The sequence below is a fragment of the Homo sapiens genome, chromosome 9 (genome assembly GCF_000001405.40).
Source record: "Homo sapiens chromosome 9, GRCh38.p14 Primary Assembly".
Taxonomy (NCBI): Eukaryota; Metazoa; Chordata; class Mammalia; order Primates; family Hominidae; genus Homo; species Homo sapiens.
In genome coordinates this window covers 133792925-133809811 of record NC_000009.12, presented here as the reverse complement: position 1 = coordinate 133809811, position 16887 = coordinate 133792925, and the positions used below count along the sequence as shown (strand labels likewise).

Sequence of the window (16887 nt, the reverse complement as noted above, 5' to 3'; positions counted from 1 at the left end):
GCCCCACAGTGACCCCACCTGTCACCTCACCCTGGACCATGGGCCAGGCAATCTCTAATCCTGTCCCGGCCACATTCCACCAGAGGTGGGGGCAGGCCCTGCTCTGGAGGAGGCTCCAGGGACCCTGCTGGCGGTGGGGGGTCATCTCAGGCCCCCTGGCTAGAAACCAGTGGACACTCAGGGGAAGAGTCCAGCCTGCAGGTGGCTGTACTGACATGTGCAATGGTGGATGTGGTCTGCATGGAGCCGAGCACACAGTCTGCCACGTAGAGAGGACTTATGCACACAGTAGGTGTTTTAGCAAGTCACTCCTGCTCCTGTGCTGGAGGGGGTAGCTTCTGAGGCCCTCACCCCAGTCTGGTGAAGAATCGAGATTCAGAATCAGAGGAGTAGGAGCCTGGGATTCTAGAAGGCTCTGCCTCCAAGCCTTCCTTGGCACTGTCCCCACGTCACATCCCCTCCCCGTGCGTCAGTTTCTTCATCTGCAAAATGAATGGGAAGGGGTTGGCCCTCTCTGTCACCCATCTGGCTGCAGCACTGCACACTCAGTGACCTCGTGGCCAAACCCAAGGAGTCCTCTTTTGTGGAGGTGTCCGGGTGTCGCGGTGCAGATGTGCAGGTGGCAGGTGGCCGGGCCCATGGGGTCCTGCTGACTCCCCCTTCCCTCCTCTAGAAAATGGGCATGACTGAAGATGACAAGAGGAACTGCTGCCTGCTGGAGATCCAGGAGACCGAGGCCAAGTACTACCGCACCCTGGAGGACATTGAGAAGGTGAGGGCAGATGGCGGCCACTGGAAAATGGCAGCGGCCACTGTGGTCACTGCAGGGCCACCTATCTCCTGGGAGTGCATTCCGGAGGCAGGGCCATAGGGCCTCTCTGACAGGCGAAGGAGACTTGGTGGCCCTCCCAGCTCTGCCTCCAGGTACCCCCTACCCAAAAGGAGGGTGCCCTCTCCTTTCCTCTGAAGCCCCTGAAGTCCCGGCCTGCGCCTGTCCCTGCTCCTCCTCTGAGCTTAATCGGGGTGGGATTACGGCTTCAGCTCCTGAACATTGCTCTAAGGCAGGCACTGAGCTAGCTCCTCGCGTATTCCCCCCACCCCACCTAGAGCTGCTCCCCAGCCTCTCCACACTCAGCCTCCCCATCTGTAAAATGGAACAAAGCTTCCATGGGGGGCTGGGAGTGTCCTGCACAAGGCATGGCCCGGCCTAGTGACCAGAGCTGCAGACTCCAAGCTCCTTGCCCAGCTCTTCCACTCTTGTGCATCTGAGTCCTCTCTCCTGCTGGCCTGCTGAGCTCCTAGAGTGCTGAGGATCAGCCTTCACCTCCCCTACCCCACCTGGGCCTCCTGTAGGCACCTGGTCAACCTGGCCCTGGGACATTTCCCTAGCACTTCTGAGTCTTCATTGCCAACTGCCAGTGTTTACTGGGGAGAAAAACCAACCAGGGTGGCCGTGATGCCTCCAGCCGGGAGACCTGGGCTGCCCCCTTGGGCCCAGGCTGGCCTTGCTCCGGCCGGGCCCCCTCCTGCTGCCCCACCCTCTGGTCCTTGGCCAGCGGCCTTTCTGCACGCACATCTGTACACCCTGGCCCAGGTCCTTCCAGTTCCCTCGAAGCCCTGCCCATGCCCTGGCTTCTGAGAATCCTGGCTCTGAGGTCAGCCTCTGCCAGGGCCCTGCTGGCCTCTGTATCCCTCCATGGCTAAATGCTGCTGCAGAAAGCAGGAGGGCTCCTGAGGTCTGTCTCCACCCAGCCTGGGGCCGCCACCCGGGCGTGTTTGCTTGGGCGATGCTCTCTGTGCCACGTGGTGACCAAGGAGCGGTGCAGCAGCTGGGCCCAGAGGATGCCTGCAGAGCGGCTGGCTGCCCTGACCAGGAGCCACTCGGGGAGCAGGAGAGGAGAGGGTGGCCGGGCCTCCAGAGCAGGGTCAGCAGCCTCACACGTCCTCATGTTCACTTCACATCCCGCCTGAGGCTGGAGCTGGAGGACTCTCGTCCACAGCCTGCCCCACCACCGGCACTCCTCGGGGTGGAGAGCATCCCTTTTGATGACAGTTTTGGGGTCATGCTCAGGAGCACAAGCTCAGTGTTTGAGTGCTGGGTGGGGACCATGGCCCTGTCCATCCAGAGAGTCCCCACGGGTGATGGCCCTGCCTCCTGGGTCTCAGCCCCTCACCGCAAGCCACAACCCCAACGCCCACCTCAGGGCAGCCATAGTGCCCAAGTCCACCCTGTGTGTGAGTGGCCACCACAGGACTCTGCCCCCGTCACGCTGGGAGCGTTAGAATCTTTACCCCCGCACCTTCCTGCCCTGCACTCACCTCCAAAGAATGGAGCCCGATGTGGCCAGAACACAGGCTACCCCAGTAAGCATGGAGCACCCCAGTGCCTGCCTCGGAGCTGCCCTGGGACCCTCCCCTGGCAGCTGTGACCTTGAGAGGGTGGGCAACAGCAGCAGGGTGGCAGAGGTGGACTTCTCTCTTCCAGAACTACATGAGCCCCCTGCGGCTGGTGCTGAGCCCGGCGGACATGGCAGCTGTCTTCATTAACCTGGAGGTAAGGGTCCCGGCCCCCATCGCTCATGCCAGGCTCGGGGCCCTAACTCGGCACTGGCCACACATGTCCTGCTGTCCTCAGGGCCTTGGAGAGCTGCACCCCTGTGGCTCCGTGGTGGCTCGTGCTGGCCGGAAGGAGGAGCCCCCACCGCTCTCTCCAGGGTCTTTGGATTTAGGAGCCAGGGTAGCAGGTTTCTGGGCTCCGCTTGTCTGCGGGTGAGGGCAGCACTGACGTGCGTGGCTGGAGGCACGGATGACGCTGAGAATGTAAATGAAGTTTTTGTCAGCGGCCAGAGAGAAACGTGTCCCTCCACCCCTTTGAGCGGACCCCCTCGCCTGCCCTGCGGGTGTCTGAACTCAGTCATAGAAAGGCAGTTCCCCATGCAAAGAGTCACCTAGACGTGGTTAGCAGAGCAGGGCGCTGGCACCAGGCTCCGGCAGCCGTGCATGGGTGGGCTTCCTCCGGGGACATGCTGCTCCTGGCCCTTCCTCCTGGCCTGGCGGCCACAGGTGCCAGCAGCCCGTGCGGTGGCTGTGTCCTGCCTCCCTGGCCGTCTCATTAGCTGCAAGGGTGAGCTCTGGTCACGCTGCCCTGGATGAGGCTGGCTTGGACCCCAGAGCTTCCTATAGTCTGTGCCTCTGACCTAGAGTTCATCTGTCCTTGAGCTGTGGCCAGGATGGAGGAGCACAGACAGAAAGAGGCCTGGGGCGGGGATGGGGGTCCCGGGGTGGGGATGGGGGTCCCGGGGTGTGGCCTGAGCACAGGAGTACTGCGCTGTGCCGCCCCACGCTGTCTGCAGAGCCCGCCCCGAGTCGGCCGCTGCGTGTCTGATGGGCTGGTGCGGGCTGTGGGCGGCTTCCCTCCCACACGTACTGGCTCTTCTGTTGCACCATCGCCATAGAACCTTCTACCTGAATCACACCCTGGCATGCACAGAGATGTGGGGTGCAGGCCCAGCACCCGGGCCCCTCCCCTCCTTGAGGGAACTACAGAACAACAAGGGCACTTTAAGGGCGGCGCTCCCGTCTAGCCTTGGGTGGGCCTGGCCAGGCACTCACGGCTGGTTTTCAACCCAGGACCTGATCAAGGTGCATCACAGCTTCCTGAGGGCCATCGACGTGTCCGTGATGGTGGGGGGCAGCACGCTGGCCAAGGTCTTCCTCGATTTCAAGGAAAGGTGAGTGGCTGCCGGCTCCTGGGGCTCCTTGGCCCCTCCCTGTCTGCGGGAGAGTTTACACAAGTGGAACTCTTGTGTAAGTGGGACTCTTGGGGTGTCCCGAGGCAGGGGCCGCCCCCTCTGGACCCCGTCCTCCCTTGTTGAGGATGCCACCCACCCCGAGCCGCAGCCTGGTTGATGGAGAGGGTGTGGAGCCTCCTGTCCTGTGGGAGCTCGGCAGGGGCAGGATTGGGGTTCTGGATGTTTCTAACTGGCTGTGAGAGGTGTGGCCATCCAAGTGGCTCGGCTGTCCCAGCGGAGATCTCGGGCCCCCACTTCTCCCTTCTGCACCCTTGTGGCCGGTTCTTTAAAGTTAGGATGTGGACAAGGATGAAAAGAGGTGGCACGTGGAGCTTAAATGATGCCCAGGCTGTCGGAGGCTGGGGAGGTGGCGTTTCTGGGGCTTAGATGACGCCCAGGCTGCCGGAGGCTGGGGAGGTGGCATTTCTGGAGCTTAGACGATGCCCAGGCTGTTGGAGGTTGGGGAGGCGGCGTTTCTGGGGGTTAGACAATGCCCAGGCTGTCGGAGGCTGGGGAGATGGCGTTTCTGGGGGTTAGACAATGCCCAGGCTGTCAGAGGCTGGGGAGATGGCGTTTCCAGCCACGGAAGTCTCGAGAGAGCCCCATCAGGGGACGGTGCCAAGCTCTCTGTCCCTCGGGGATCCTTTGGAGGAGCCCGAAGGGGTCTATGCTAATGCTTCCTGAACTTGGCTGCTCACTAGAGCCACTGGGGAGCTTGTTACAAATACCATGTCCGGGGTCCACTCTTGGAAGGGTCTGGGTCTGCTCTGGGGCCTGGGGAGTTGTAGAAGACCCCACAGGTGCATCTTACCACGCGGCCCTGAGCCTAGGCATTGGGCGCCCGGGTCCATCTCTCCCTCATCTCTAGGAGGGTCCCCTGCATCACCCGCCAGGTGGCCGTCAGCACAGCTCACACCCCTCCCTGTCCAGGCAGCCGGGGACAGGCCCAGGGCTGGATTCTCAGGCACGTTGCCTGGGAAGCCCTGCAGGTGCTTCCCTGTGTGCTCTGTAGCTTCAGGAAAGGCGCTCCCCCCTTCCCTGTGAGGAGGGTCCTGGAGCCTGCTCTCCAGGGGCCATGGCTTGGAGGGTTCCCGGAGACACGAGGGAGCAGGCAGTGCTTGTGGTCCAGTGGCAGAGGGGACCAGGAGAGCTGACGAGGCCCAGCAGGTGTGAGCACACTGGCCAGCCCCAGAGGGTTAAGAGTGGGCAGGGATCGGGGGAGGACAGCTCCCTAACCTGCCCTCAGCAAGGTGTTCCCTTCATCTGTGGGTGAGCTGATAGTGCCCGGCTGGCAGGTCACACTGGCTGTCGCCCCAGTCCTCAGCAGGTGTGGGGTACAGTGGTCCTTTTCAGCGCCTTGTTCATGCTGTCCCTCGGCCAGGAAGGGAGGGAGCCACGGATGAGGCGTGGTTTGCTTCGAGGTCCGTCAAAGGCTGAAGCCCTGGAGGAGGAATGGCTGGCTGTGTGGTAGAGTGACAGGGTGGATAACCTGTCCTCTCCCAGGAGCCTCCCTCCACAGTCAGGCTGCCCGGCGACACCCCTGGCCCTGTCCCACCAGCAGGACCTTGCATGGGTGGTTCCCGCTGAGGAACAGCGGGCATCTCTGCCTTGGAGCGCCACTGCAGTGCGGGCAGCACGTCCAGTCACAGGCCCAGCCCAAGAGCTCTGTGGACGGGCAGCTCCGTCCCTGGCAGCGAGGCGTGTGGCGAGATCCGTCAGTCGGGGTCTGTTTGGGGAAGGGGCTGTCAGCGTTTCATCAGAGCTCATCACCAAATCATCGTGGTTCTGTCCCAGCATCCAGCTTTTTTGCCCCTTTCCTCTCATTTCGGATTCGGCCCCAAGGTCCTGGTTCTTGCTTGCTGGCTGAGTCCTGAAGCTTTTATAGGGTGCCTGCTCTGTATGGCTCCTGAGCTCTGGACTGAGGACACGCAGTGAACAGAGCTACTGGCCTCTCGCTGGGTGGGATGGATGAGAACCAAGACAAGATAGAGAAGCTCCGGGGGGAGCTGCGGCGTTGCTGGAGAGCCCAGGAGACCCGTGAGGGCTGCACAGCGGAGGACGTGTCCCCCTGAGCACAGTCCTGCAGGGGTGGGGCGAGGCGGGTTGGGGAGCAGAAGCTTAGGGGAAGGTGAGAGGCATGAGCCCAGTAGAAAAGGGGCGGTTCTCCAGGGAAGGGCTGGAGGGTCCTGCAGGGGCTTCCAGGCCAAAGGAAGGATTTAGAATTTTTCTTTTATTAAGCGAGGGCACGAGGAAGCTGCTGAAGGGCTTTGTGACAGGGTCCTGGCAGCTCGTCGGGGGTGAAGGGTGGAGTAGCATTCCGGTGTGGCATGATCGGCACTGAGTGGCAGGAGACAGTCACCTCCCTCTTTTTGAGGTTATACTTTCATGAATGCAGCCTTCGTCCTCAGACAAGGCAGGAGCTCCTCTTAGCCTTGCCCTGTGGGCCTAAAAGGGGGCATCTCCCACCCAGAGGGACACTGGGCCTTGGGAAGGAGCTTGCATTCTGCAGCTGTGGACATAAGACAAAGCCGTGTGGTTTTTCTCTGTGGCTGGGTCTGGCCAGGCTGGGCCTGGAGTCCAGCTCCTGGTGGCTTCCTTGAGTGGGGCAGTGAGTCATGCTGCGGGGAGTGGGGGCATACGGGGACGTGGGGGCAGGAGAGCTAGAAAGGGAACGACCTCGGGGAGCTGGCAGCCCTGCAGGAAGGCCACGAACTGGCTTTCAAGAGGAGCTCTCTGTGGAGCTTTGCACGAGCGCTTTTGGGAGGAATGCAGAACAGAACGAGACGAAGGCCACGCCCTCCTCCCCCAGGGCTGGGTGGGATCTCCCTGCGTATGTGGAGATGAAGGATCCGAGACAGGTGAGCGCTTTGGTGCACCGAGACTTCCACTCGGAATCCTGGAACGAGTGAGGCTGCCCTGTGGATGGTTCCTACCCGAAGCCCAAGGCTGGGTGGTTCCAGGGTACGGCCTGCAGGGAGAGTCCCCGGTCATGGTCCACCTCAAAAACCCCAGTAGGGGTTGGCTTGGCCACCTGCTCTGGCAGGGCTGCCTTTGGGAACCTCTGAAGTCAAGAAGCCTCAGCTCCCGCTCTGTCTAACCCCCATTTCCCAGATGGGGAAACGGAGGCCAGAGCTGGCAGCTCAGCCGTGCACCTTGCTTGTTCCTGCATCCTTGGTCCATACCTGAGCCCATGGCCTGTGGTCCTCAATCCACGCTGGCCTGTCCCTGGGCATCTTGAGAGGTTGGGGCTGTGTGGACTGGAGGCAGAGGTGATACCATGAGGAAAATGGGCAGAGGAGAGGCATCTCTGGAGGAGGCATTTGTGCACCGTGTGGTGGGTTCAGAATTTGACGTACTCAGAAAGTTAAAAAACATGATCCTCACACAAATACCCACGGAGCTCGGGCCACGGGTCTGTCAACTCACGAGCAAGGGAACCACATACCTTGTCAGCAGAGAGGGGAGGTCGGGCAGGATGCTGGACACGGCGGGCCGTGCCTTGCAAGGTGACCACACTGAGACCTTTGGGGCCATGTCCTCTATCAGGACAGAAATCATTTGCGCCTGAACAACTTTCTCCAGGGGAGGAGTCAGCCGGAGTGGGGCGGGGGAGGGGGAGGCTGCCCCTGGGAGGTGCTCCAACCAGACCAGGAATGCATGAAGTCGTGTGTGTGTGTGTGTGTGTGTGTGTGTGTGTACACGCGTGCTTGTGTGTTTGTGTGCACATGCATGTGTGTGTGTGTGCATACATGTGTGCCCGTGTGTGTTATTCCAAGTTTTGGCTCCTTTTTCTTAACAGTAGTAAATGTGGTTAGAATTAAGGCCTGTAAACTTTTGCCTCCTTAACTGACTTCCTCCAATAGGCTTGGAGTCACTGTCATTTTCTCTCCATTTTTCGGGGAAAAGTCAAACTGTGCCCCCTGGGGACTCTGTGGCCCATGCTGCCTGGTATGTGGCAGGTGCTCAGAGTCCTGTGGTGTGGACGGAGGGTGAAGGCGTCTGTGTGAGTGACCTGGCTTGGCTGTAACAATGACCGCAAACATGGTGGCTTGAAACAACAGAGATGTCTCTGTTCTGGAGGCCAGACTCCTAGTCTCACTGAGCCAAAGTCCAGGTGTGCCCGGGTCATGCTTCCTGCAGAGGCTTCAGGGGGATCCTTCCTACGTCCTGCAGCTGCTGGAGGCCCCGGGTGTTCCTGGCTGGGGCTGCTTCGTTCTCTGTCCCCATCTCCACATGGCCTCCCCGCGTCTCTGTGTCCTTTTCTGAGGCCACTCTCATTGGAGTCAGGGCCACCTTCCTTCAGCATGGCCTCATCTCAGTCCTTACCTTCATTACATCTGCATCATGACCAAATAAGGTCACAGTGTGAGGCTCTAGTGGACCCACTGCAGCCGAGTTCTGGTCCGAGGCCCTCTCCATCACCAGCTGCCCTTGCTCAGTGGGGCTAGGGGTGTGCAGGTGCTGGCATCTGCTCTGCCCCTGGGTCAGGTGAGAGAGGGCGCGGGCCCCTCGAGTGTCCTTCTGGACTCCACGGAGAGAGAGTGTCCCTCTGCAGAGGCGTCACCCTGGGGCCCTGAGGGCCAGGGTTGAGAGCCATGTGCATTCGCTTTGGAATCTGGCCCTGTTCCCCTTCTTGGGCGACCTCAGAAGTCACGTCACGTCTCTGAGCCTCAGGGCCCCTGTGGTGACAGTGGTGTTTCTGTGAGGATGCAGTGAGCCCGGGTGTGAAGCCCGTCCCACGGCCAGGGCCCTTTCAGGCTCTTCATGGAGGTCTGTCTTTCCCCAGAGTTCTCCTGTTTGCTTCAAGTGCCTGCCATTCCCCCCACCCCCAACCTCCTGCATCCTCTTATCAAATGGATAGAAGGACCTGTGTCCAGGCTTGTGGCTGTGGCCACTCACAGCCGTGTGTGAGTGCCTGGTGCAGGCAGGCTCCGGGCTGGGTGCTGGGGTATGGGGATGAGTGAGACCCATTGCAGGAGCTCAGAGCTGGTGGGTGGGGGTCACCCGGGGCAGTCTCCTCTTTGGGCTCCCACTGACCTTGGACAGGCCTCTACCTGCTGCCCTTTGACCTATCTCCTTGCTTTTCCCTCTGGCCCTGCTGGTGCAGGGGTTGAAGTGAAGAAGGGGCAATGATAGGGAAGAGTTTTGACAGACGAGTAGAAGTTTGCCAGGTGGAGAAGGCTGCCAGCTCAGCTGTGCTGTGGCTGATGTGGGTGTTCCCGGTAGAGCATGGTGTGAGGAGAGTAAGGCTGGGATCTGCACTCCAGCCCCTCGTCCACCTAAACCTCGGGCCAAGGTGACTTGGTGTGAAATTGAAAGGCGGAGCTCACAAAGCTGGTTTGGCCACACTAGAGCTGCTGGCACCAGGCATGTTATCCGCTGGGCTTCAGTTGGGAGCTTTTTCCACCTACATGAAGACTTGCCTCGACAGGGAGGGACTGGGGCCATCACTGGGCCCAGCTCACCTGAAATGCTTGAAGCCGAGTCCGCAGTGGTGCGGGGCCTGGTGGGAAGTCAGGCAGTGTGGTGTCCCTCGGGCCCGAGCGTGGCCCCAGCCCCAGCAGCAGCAGACATGGCTCCATGCGGGCAGGACCCCTCGCTGGGGACTCTGTCTTTCCTTCTCCCCAGCCCAGACTCGTCCTCCCGCCTCCAGGCGGTCTTGGGAAGCTCTGAAAGCCTTGAGGTTCACCACCTGCCCTGGCTTCCCCACCTAGAGTCCTCAGGCCAGGTCAGGGGCACTTTTCAAAGGGGCCACAGGGGTGGGCTGGGGGCCTTAGGGTTTGGGGTGCCCCTGGACCTCCTGCCTTGCTTCTGGTCTGGTGTCATCATCAGATAGGAGGCACAGCCAGGAGGCAGAGCAGTGCAGCCCTAGGACAGCCCCAGGAACTGGGCTTTGGGGTCGGTGACTGTTGGTGTGATTCCCTTCTCAGCTACGGGGCTCTCTGAGCCTCAGTGTCCCCATGGGTAGAACGGCGACAGTCACGGTCCCAGAGCTTCCAGCCCAGGTCCTGGCACCAAGTGATGCCCAGTGTGTGTGGCGTGTCTTCTGCGCATGGCTCTGACCATTCTCTCAGGGTGGAGAAAACACCGATCCGGAGCGGGGCAGGTGCAGGCGGCCGCCGGGAGTCAGTGTCTTGTCCGCTCACTTTCGGGCTGTCCGGTGGTCTCTTAAATGTCCCTCTGTTCCTTCTCTCCTCTCCTACTCTACCGGGGGCTTCTGAAGCTTTTGTTCATTTTTTTTTAAAAGGGGAAAACCCTTTTTCTCGATTGCTTCCAGAGATGATAGGTTTTCACCAACTTTTATATGAAAATGATCAGTGTAATAACAGACTCATTTAGGTGGTAACCAGGGGGCAGGTTCCCATTTAAAGTGGCTCCCAGTCAACACACAGCCCAAGCACCAGGCAGGAGGCAGGCCCTTTGCAATGATGGTGATGCCTCCATGCAGACCTCCCAGGTCTGTGGACACGGGATCCCCCCATGGGGACACACCCCTGCAGGCCATGTGGGACCGGCCATGGGTGCTTTGCTTGACTGTGGCTGGGTCAGGTGAGCTTCGAGCAGATTCAGGTCCTTTATCAGAGTCGTGGACTGTCAGCCTCGCATGCCAGAGGTGTCCCTGCAGGCTTGTGAGGGAGGATTCTCGGGCGGCCTGAGGAAGTACCAGTCACTGGACCCCACGCGCAGCGCTGGGAGGGTGTCAGGGCCTCTGGCGGCCCTGGCCGTGGTGAGGACAGCCTCATGAGCATTTGTTGGGAGTAGGAAGTGTGTCAAGATGCCCGTCCCTGTGCCTGAGCCAGCTCCAAAGGGACATGCTCCCTAGGCAGAAAATGTGTTCCCAGCCACTGTTCTGTTCTCCCATGTGGCAGAGCCACTTGGATGGAAACCTGTCCCTGCATCAAGACCCCACCATCAGGACGCTTCTCCCCGAGGGCCACCCTCCGCAGAAGCCAGGCTACAGGCCCAGCTGCCCGCCCCGAGCCCCAGGCCGGGTGCCCTACGGCAAAGCAGCTCTCATGATGGAAAGAGAAATGGCCCAGAGGCCATGGTGACCTGGTCCCAAGAGCCTGCCCTGGGCTTCCCGGGCCAGGGGAGCCTCCAGACACCAACACACAGCCCTGCCAGAGAGCATATCACCAGGACGCTGGGTCCGGCCCAGCCTTGCAGGCCAGACTGTCAGCTCCTAGCAAGTTCACGGAGGCCTCAGTCTCCCTGCCTGAAGAGTGGGGCTAATCACCCCCATCTTTACAAATGGGCAAAAAAGTCATAAGGCTTGTCGGCAGAGCACCTGGCAGCAGCTGCCTCAGCGAGTGGTGGCTCTTGTCATCCTTGTTGTCACCAACATTGTCACCTGGTGTGGTTCTTCTTTGGGACTGCCCTGTCGGTGGGGTTATGGGGTTTTAAAGATGAAGTTTCAGGCTGGTAACCTAAGACCCTGAGGCTCCAGAGGCCGGGAACCCTGGGTTCCAGTTTGTAGAGATGTGGGCCCAGTGCAGGGAGAGGGAGAAGGTGTCGTGGCTAAAGAGACCAGCACAAGGCACTGAAGGGGGAATCAGAGTGGCCGGGAGAGAGCGATGCTGGGGCCAGGAGGAGGCGGTGGGCAGGACACGAGGGCTGGCTTCCTGGGCGTCCTCCCAGGTCCGGGGGCCACCTGGCTGCCTGCATCCCTGAAGACGGGGCTGTCACTGCTGTTGTCCCCTGCTTGTGGAATCCAGACACCATGTGGAAGCAACAAGGGTGACCCTTAGGGGTTCCCCACCTGGCACAGCATGAGGGTGAGCCCTGAGCCAGTGCAGGCCTCGGTGCTCAGGGCCTGGGGGCAAGATTCTGAGCCCTCCTGGGGTCTTCTTTCCTGGGGGGATGTCAGGGGCTTCTCTTTCCTCCAGTGTTGGCCCTTTTTGGGGGTGGGATGGGAGGTTGAGAGCTCCAGCCTGCATCCCAGCCGGGACCTGACCTAGAACCACCTGGGACTCAGGAAGAGCAGGGGCACCCCCTCTCCCAGCACGCCGGCAGCCCTCCTGCGGCCCGGTAGCTTCGGGAAGGGGAGAGCAGCCTCCTGGCCGTTGAATGTGTCCACGTGCAGGGAGCTGTCAGGGGAGGGGCCTGTTGGTTGCGCACCTACAGCCTGCTGGGAAAAATGGACGGGCTCACTGCAGCCCCGAGCTGCTCATTAAATCTGTGTGCGTGTGTGCGTGTGTGTGCACCGTCCAGGCTTCTGATCTACGGGGAGTACTGCAGCCACATGGAGCACGCCCAGAACACACTGAACCAGCTCCTGGCCAGCCGGGAGGACTTCAGGCAGAAAGTCGAGGTAAGTCCTGCCAGGCGTTGGCCCTGGCCCTGGCTCCAAGGTTGCAGCTTGCAGGCCAGAGCTCGTTAGGTACCAGCCTCTCTCTTGCCCATTTGTTGGGAAGGTGGTGATGGGGGTGATGACGTAATGGTTTTTTGTAGATTTTTCTTTTTTGCATTGTGTTGGGTTGGGGAGTGGGTTGGGTGGAGGTCACCATCCCAGGCCAGGACACAGTGAGACTCCCCATGGAGAAACGTCCTTGGGACTGAATCTGACTCAGCTGGGGGCTCTGGCTGACCCCTGATCCTGGCCTCTGCTGACTCCAGGGAGCCCCAGGTGCCATTTGCTGGGAACTGTGGGACCACCCACCCCTCATCCATCCTCACCCCAGGCCCAGGGCGAGTCTCTATCAACTGGGGGCTCTGACTGACCCCTGATCCTGGCCTCCGCTGACCCCAGGGAGTCCCGGGTAACATTTGCTGGGAACTGTGGGGCCACCCACCCCTCATCCATCCTCACCCCAGGCCCAGGGCAAGTCTCTGTCAACATCTAGTGTTTCTCACGTGAGCCCCTCCCAGCCCCTCCTGTTCCCAGCTGGAGTTTCCAGGCTCCATCTGGTTAGTACACCCTGGTTTCTGCGTGGAGCCTGGTGAAGAGCCCCCTGGCTCTAGCAGTGGTGGAGGCAGCGTGGCCCCCCAGTAGAGATGCACGATGCCCCCCAAGTCCAGTCAATGAATGGGGGAATGCCCTGGTTCCTGGGAGTGGCCCCACAGCTCAGTGCAAGTTGGTGCCCCACCTTGCTTCTCCCAGAGGCCAGACCAGAGAGGGGTTGGTGAATGGGGGATGGCCTGCTGCCCCTTCTCCAAAGGACCTTCTCCAAAGGACCTGGCCTGGCGGAAGAGTCAAGGCCACATCCAGACAGGCCCAGCAGGCGCCCCGAGAGGGTTTCCGTAGCATCGCACGTGTCTCACTGCGTCCCAGTGTGGCCAGTGCAGACACGGCAGGGTGGGAGCCATGTGTTGTGAAGCCCCCCCCTCTGCACACACCTGGTGCATGGACTGGTTCCGGGAGCCTGGCTAGAGAAGGGCCAAACGTCTGGGCCTGAGTTCTGGGCTTAGGTCTCCCCTCTCTGTGGGCGGGGGTACAGGTGGGTGGGTTCAGGCTTTCCTCGGGGAGGGCTCTCCCATCGCCCTGTCGCCCTCCCAGGAGTGCACACTGAAGGTCCAGGATGGAAAATTTAAGCTGCAAGACCTGCTGGTGGTCCCCATGCAGAGGGTGCTCAAATACCACCTGCTCTTGAAGGTGAGGCTCTGGGCCCCGGGTGCCTGCGGGGTCATCACTGCTGGAGTCAGATGAGGGCTGGCAGCTTCCAGGGGGTATAGGTTGCAGCCCACAGACAGATTAAGTTGAATATAGACAAGTCAGTTCATGCTTAGCTCATAATCACCGCTCAATGCATGTGATGGCCGATTATCACAGTAAATACACAGAGGAAAATGATGAGTCCAATCACTAAAGAGGTCAGAAAACTGAAAGAGACAGAAAAGCGTCCTCACACCAGGAATAAGAAAGCTACTGTGGTTGGTCTCTGAGCTTCCTGGTGGCCATGGCAGAAATGGACATGGAAGGGCTTCAGGAAAGCCAGACCTGGGAGGGAAGGCGGTGGTTTCTGCCCGGCACCTTGCGAGGCCCTTTTCCCGTGGAATGCTGGCACAGCGCCTTGCTTTTTGCTGCCTTCATGGCCCTTCTCACGGTCACTCCCTTCCCTTATCCACAAGGTTTGGGAGCGCCCCTGCCAAGAAGTGGGGTATCCCCTGTGGAGGAGTCACTCTCTGTCCTTTGGTGTCGGGCAGCCAAACCCAGCCTGGCTGGCGGGTGGGGGTGGCTTTCTTCTGAGGACTTGGTTCTGTGCACACCTCCTGCCCCAGGTAGGGGCCAGGGCAGAGGCCAGAACCCCCGAGTGGTAACACATGACACTCTTCTCACCCTTCCAGGAGCTTCTGAGCCATTCTGCGGAACGGCCTGAGAGGCAGCAGCTCAAAGAAGCACTGGAAGCCATGCAGGTGTGTGGGTAAACTGAGGCAGGGGAGAAGCCACCGTCTGGCTTAGCCCGTGTTCTTGGACTGGAATTGGGCTCATTAACGAGCCTCAGTTTTGACTGTGGACAGTTTCCTGGGACAGCAGGAGTTGGGGCAGGGCAGGGCAGGGCAGTGGGTGAGACCCACAGGAGGTAGAGGTGACGGGTGGAGGGCACTGCAGGTCAGGTGCCCCCTCAGGTGTCCCGAGTCCTAACCTCACCTGTCCAACAAGACCTCCCTTGAGCCTCCCCTCCCCCTGCTTTTCCCCCAGGCATTGGCCTCCATTCTGGGCTTTCTGGCCCAGTGCTTCTCACTCCCAGCACTGAGGCTTCTGCTTCTAAAATGCCACCTCCGGTGCCATCTCTCAGCTACCTGCCTGGGGAGCTCCTTCGCTCCTGGCTGTTTCGAGGGCCCCCAGCCAGCCATGCCTCCCTCTCTCCCCTTGTCCGGGTGAGCTCAGCTCATGCCACTCCCTTGCTCAGAAACCTTCCGTGGCTCCCTCTGCCCATGAAGCAGGCATGGGCTCCTCACTCTGGCACTCCCGGCCTTCTGCAGGATACTTGCCCCTGATGTCGCAGCTGTGTTCAGCACAGTTCCAGGCAGGTTTGATCCCTCCCAGGCTCCTGCACGTGCCCTGCACTTCCCCGGCTCCGGGTGTTGGCTCAGGTGCACCCTCCTCCTCGTCACCTGGCCACGTCCTGCTCATCCTGCCTTCACTGTGGACAGAACGTTTTCCAGGGAGGATCGCCCCCCACTGGGTTCTGTCCTCAGGGAACTGGCTTCCTCGTGGGTGGCACTCTTCCTCCTGGACACACTTGTTCGTGCCATCTCCTTCCCAGCCAGGCATGTGTCAGCCATAGTCACCTGTGTCCCCAGGCCAGGCACAGCACCTGGCATGTGGTAGGTCCCCTCCAGCTGCATCTGGGTGGAGGGATGACGACCCCCCCCACATCTCCCTCGTCGGGAGCACAGGACACCTCTGCCAGCCCCCCTCAGGGCTGCAGTCCTGCCCTCTGACACCTGGCCCCTGCCCTCTGGGCAGCCCCCCTGGGCTTTGGGCCCCCTTTTCCTTTCCCAGGTACCTCATTTAAGGAGCTCCCTCTGGGTGGGGGAGGGGCTGTAATCTGTCTCTGTCTATAGCTGCTGTTGGGCTGGGACGGGAGTGGGGCCAGTGCTTGGCCGCCGGTGCTAAGAGGTTCTCTGAGCAGGGCTTGTGCTCGGGGAGAAATTTACTCCAAATCCTGTGGGCACTCGTGTGTGGGCACGGGAGGTGGTCCCAGAGACCTTCAGATTCCCGCTCGGCTGCACTGGGCAGCGAGCACCCTGAGGAATGCTCCAGGAAAGCCTCCTGCCATGACGGGCTGACAGAACTTTCTCGGTGTCAGCTCTGCAGCCCCCAAGCCGCCCCTCTCCAACACCTGCTCTGGCCTGTCTGCTGTGAGCCACGGTGTGTGAGCCAGCGTGGATGCGTCCTCGGGGGCTCTGAGACAGTGACAGCAGGTGCAGTGGGCCGTGCACCCGGGCCCTGAGTGTGGTCTTGCGTTTCATACTCTCAGCACTCGGTGTCTGGCTGGCGAGTGGCTCTGAGCCCCTCGACGGGATGGTTTCCCAGGAGTGTAGCTCACGGTGCTGCACAAAGTACTCGGTGACTTGCGGGTGTGCGTCTGCCTTTCTGAGAGCCACCGAACCTCATCATGAAACTTCAGGGCTGGGGGGATTTTAGAAGTCTTTTGATCCATTCCCAATTTATATAGGAAGTCATTCATGCAGCCACTATGGGAGTCGTCGCTGTACCTGGGCTTGATTTCCCCTAGGGACTGAGGGCTCACTCCTTGTACGGCAGCGTCTTTGAGAATCAGCCCCCGTGCCGCTGTGGGCCTGAGGTTTGTCTCCAAGGGAATTGCGGTTTTAGGTCCAAGCTCCATGAGCTGACTGCAGTCCTGCCTCTGTATCAAAGTACAGACATTTCCCTCACCTGCTCATTCATTCGGGCAACTTCCATCTGTTCCTATTTCATGCCAGGCATTGGGCCAGGTGCACGCAGGGGCCGCGGTGGTCACAGTTGTAATGTTTCTGCCTTTGGGAGGGGGGTGGTCCTGAGCTCCAGACTTGCTACTGGGGTCCTTGTCTCTGGGAATTTATTCCTTATTTTAAAGGCAAGTGGACAACGACAAGAAAACGGAACACCCCTTTCAGACAGCGTGCTGCAGCCTCCCCAGGAAGTTCCCTCCTGCGGGGTGGGTGGGGAGCCAATGGTGAGGTCTTCTAGGAACGAGGAAGGGCGGGAGGGATGGGAACCTGCTGAAGACCTGGCTCTGGCTCTGGCTCTGGCCCTGGCTGGTCACTTGCATTTTGGGGAATTCCACCCGCTGCTCTCGGGGGGCAGGGCCAGGACCGCCCACGTGGCCGGCTCCCTTGGGTTCCGCTGTGGGCCAGGTCTGGACACTGCGTTTTCTGGACTGAAGTGGGCACTGCTCTCTGGTGGCCAGCACGAGGATTGCAGCACGGCAGGCAGGCGCCGGAGTGGGGGTGGCCAGACCCGTGGAGAGAGGGACTTCCTGACCCCTCATTCTGTCCAGGCTCCAAGGGGAGGCTGTGGCTTAGAGAGGCTGGGGAGGGGGAAGCTTCCCAAGAACAGGGACATAGGTCAGCCCAAGTCTAGGTGGCTCTTATGTGGCCTGATGTGGCTCCCACACACAGGGCTGCTTCCCTCTATTAGGATGTTTAA

General features: G+C 60.5%; 1 protein-coding gene across 9 annotated transcripts in view, besides 6 other annotated features; it reads left to right on the top strand.

Annotated features, from left to right (window-relative positions):
• VAV2 (vav guanine nucleotide exchange factor 2) overlaps positions 1–16887 on the top strand; it is a 230431-nt gene that overhangs the window by 182513 nt on the left and 31031 nt on the right. For all 9 annotated transcript variants that reach the window (NM_003371.4, NM_001411028.1, XM_017015109.2 and 6 more), the window contains 6 exons: positions 674–772; positions 2486–2554; positions 3631–3731; positions 12003–12102; positions 13288–13383; positions 14076–14144. In NM_003371.4, coding sequence (NP_003362.2) covers positions 674–772; positions 2486–2554; positions 3631–3731; positions 12003–12102; positions 13288–13383; positions 14076–14144 — 534 coding nt within the window. The remainder of the gene's footprint in view (positions 1–673; positions 773–2485; positions 2555–3630; positions 3732–12002; positions 12103–13287; positions 13384–14075; positions 14145–16887) is intronic.
• Positions 5906–6428: an enhancer, noted in NCBI's record as "H3K4me1 hESC enhancer chr9:136668506-136669028 (GRCh37/hg19 assembly coordinates)". NCBI's record gives its function as "activates a minimal SCP1, AML or CMV promoter by ChIP-STARR-seq in naive H9 embryonic stem cells {active_cell/tissue: H9 hESC(naive)}" and the evidence as "EXISTENCE:reporter gene assay evidence [ECO:0000049][PMID:30033119]".
• Positions 6429–6951: an enhancer, noted in NCBI's record as "H3K4me1 hESC enhancer chr9:136667983-136668505 (GRCh37/hg19 assembly coordinates)". NCBI's record gives its function as "activates a minimal SCP1, AML or CMV promoter by ChIP-STARR-seq in naive H9 embryonic stem cells {active_cell/tissue: H9 hESC(naive)}" and the evidence as "EXISTENCE:reporter gene assay evidence [ECO:0000049][PMID:30033119]".
• Positions 8073–8593: an enhancer, noted in NCBI's record as "H3K27ac-H3K4me1 hESC enhancer chr9:136666341-136666861 (GRCh37/hg19 assembly coordinates)". NCBI's record gives its function as "activates a minimal SCP1, AML or CMV promoter by ChIP-STARR-seq in naive H9 embryonic stem cells {active_cell/tissue: H9 hESC(naive)}" and the evidence as "EXISTENCE:reporter gene assay evidence [ECO:0000049][PMID:30033119]".
• Positions 11023–11192: an enhancer, noted in NCBI's record as "experimental_106974 CRE fragment used in MPRA reporter constructs". NCBI's record gives its function as "activates a minimal promoter by MPRAs in K562 erythroleukemia cells, with activity observed for both the introgressed and non-introgressed 9:136663827 or rs2318820 variant alleles {active_cell/tissue: K562}" and the evidence as "EXISTENCE:reporter gene assay evidence [ECO:0000049][PMID:34662402]".
• Position 11107: a transcriptional cis regulatory region, noted in NCBI's record as "Neanderthal adaptively introgressed variant 9:136663827 (GRCh37/hg19 assembly coordinates) or rs2318820 in the experimental_106974 CRE". NCBI's record gives its function as "modulates activity of the experimental_106974 enhancer by MPRAs in K562 erythroleukemia cells {active_cell/tissue: K562}" and the evidence as "EXISTENCE:reporter gene assay evidence [ECO:0000049][PMID:34662402]".
• Positions 16744–16793: an enhancer, noted in NCBI's record as "active region_29250". NCBI's record gives its function as "activates an Ori minimal core promoter by ATAC-STARR-seq in GM12878 lymphoblastoid cells {active_cell/tissue: GM12878}" and the evidence as "EXISTENCE:reporter gene assay evidence [ECO:0000049][PMID:35858748]".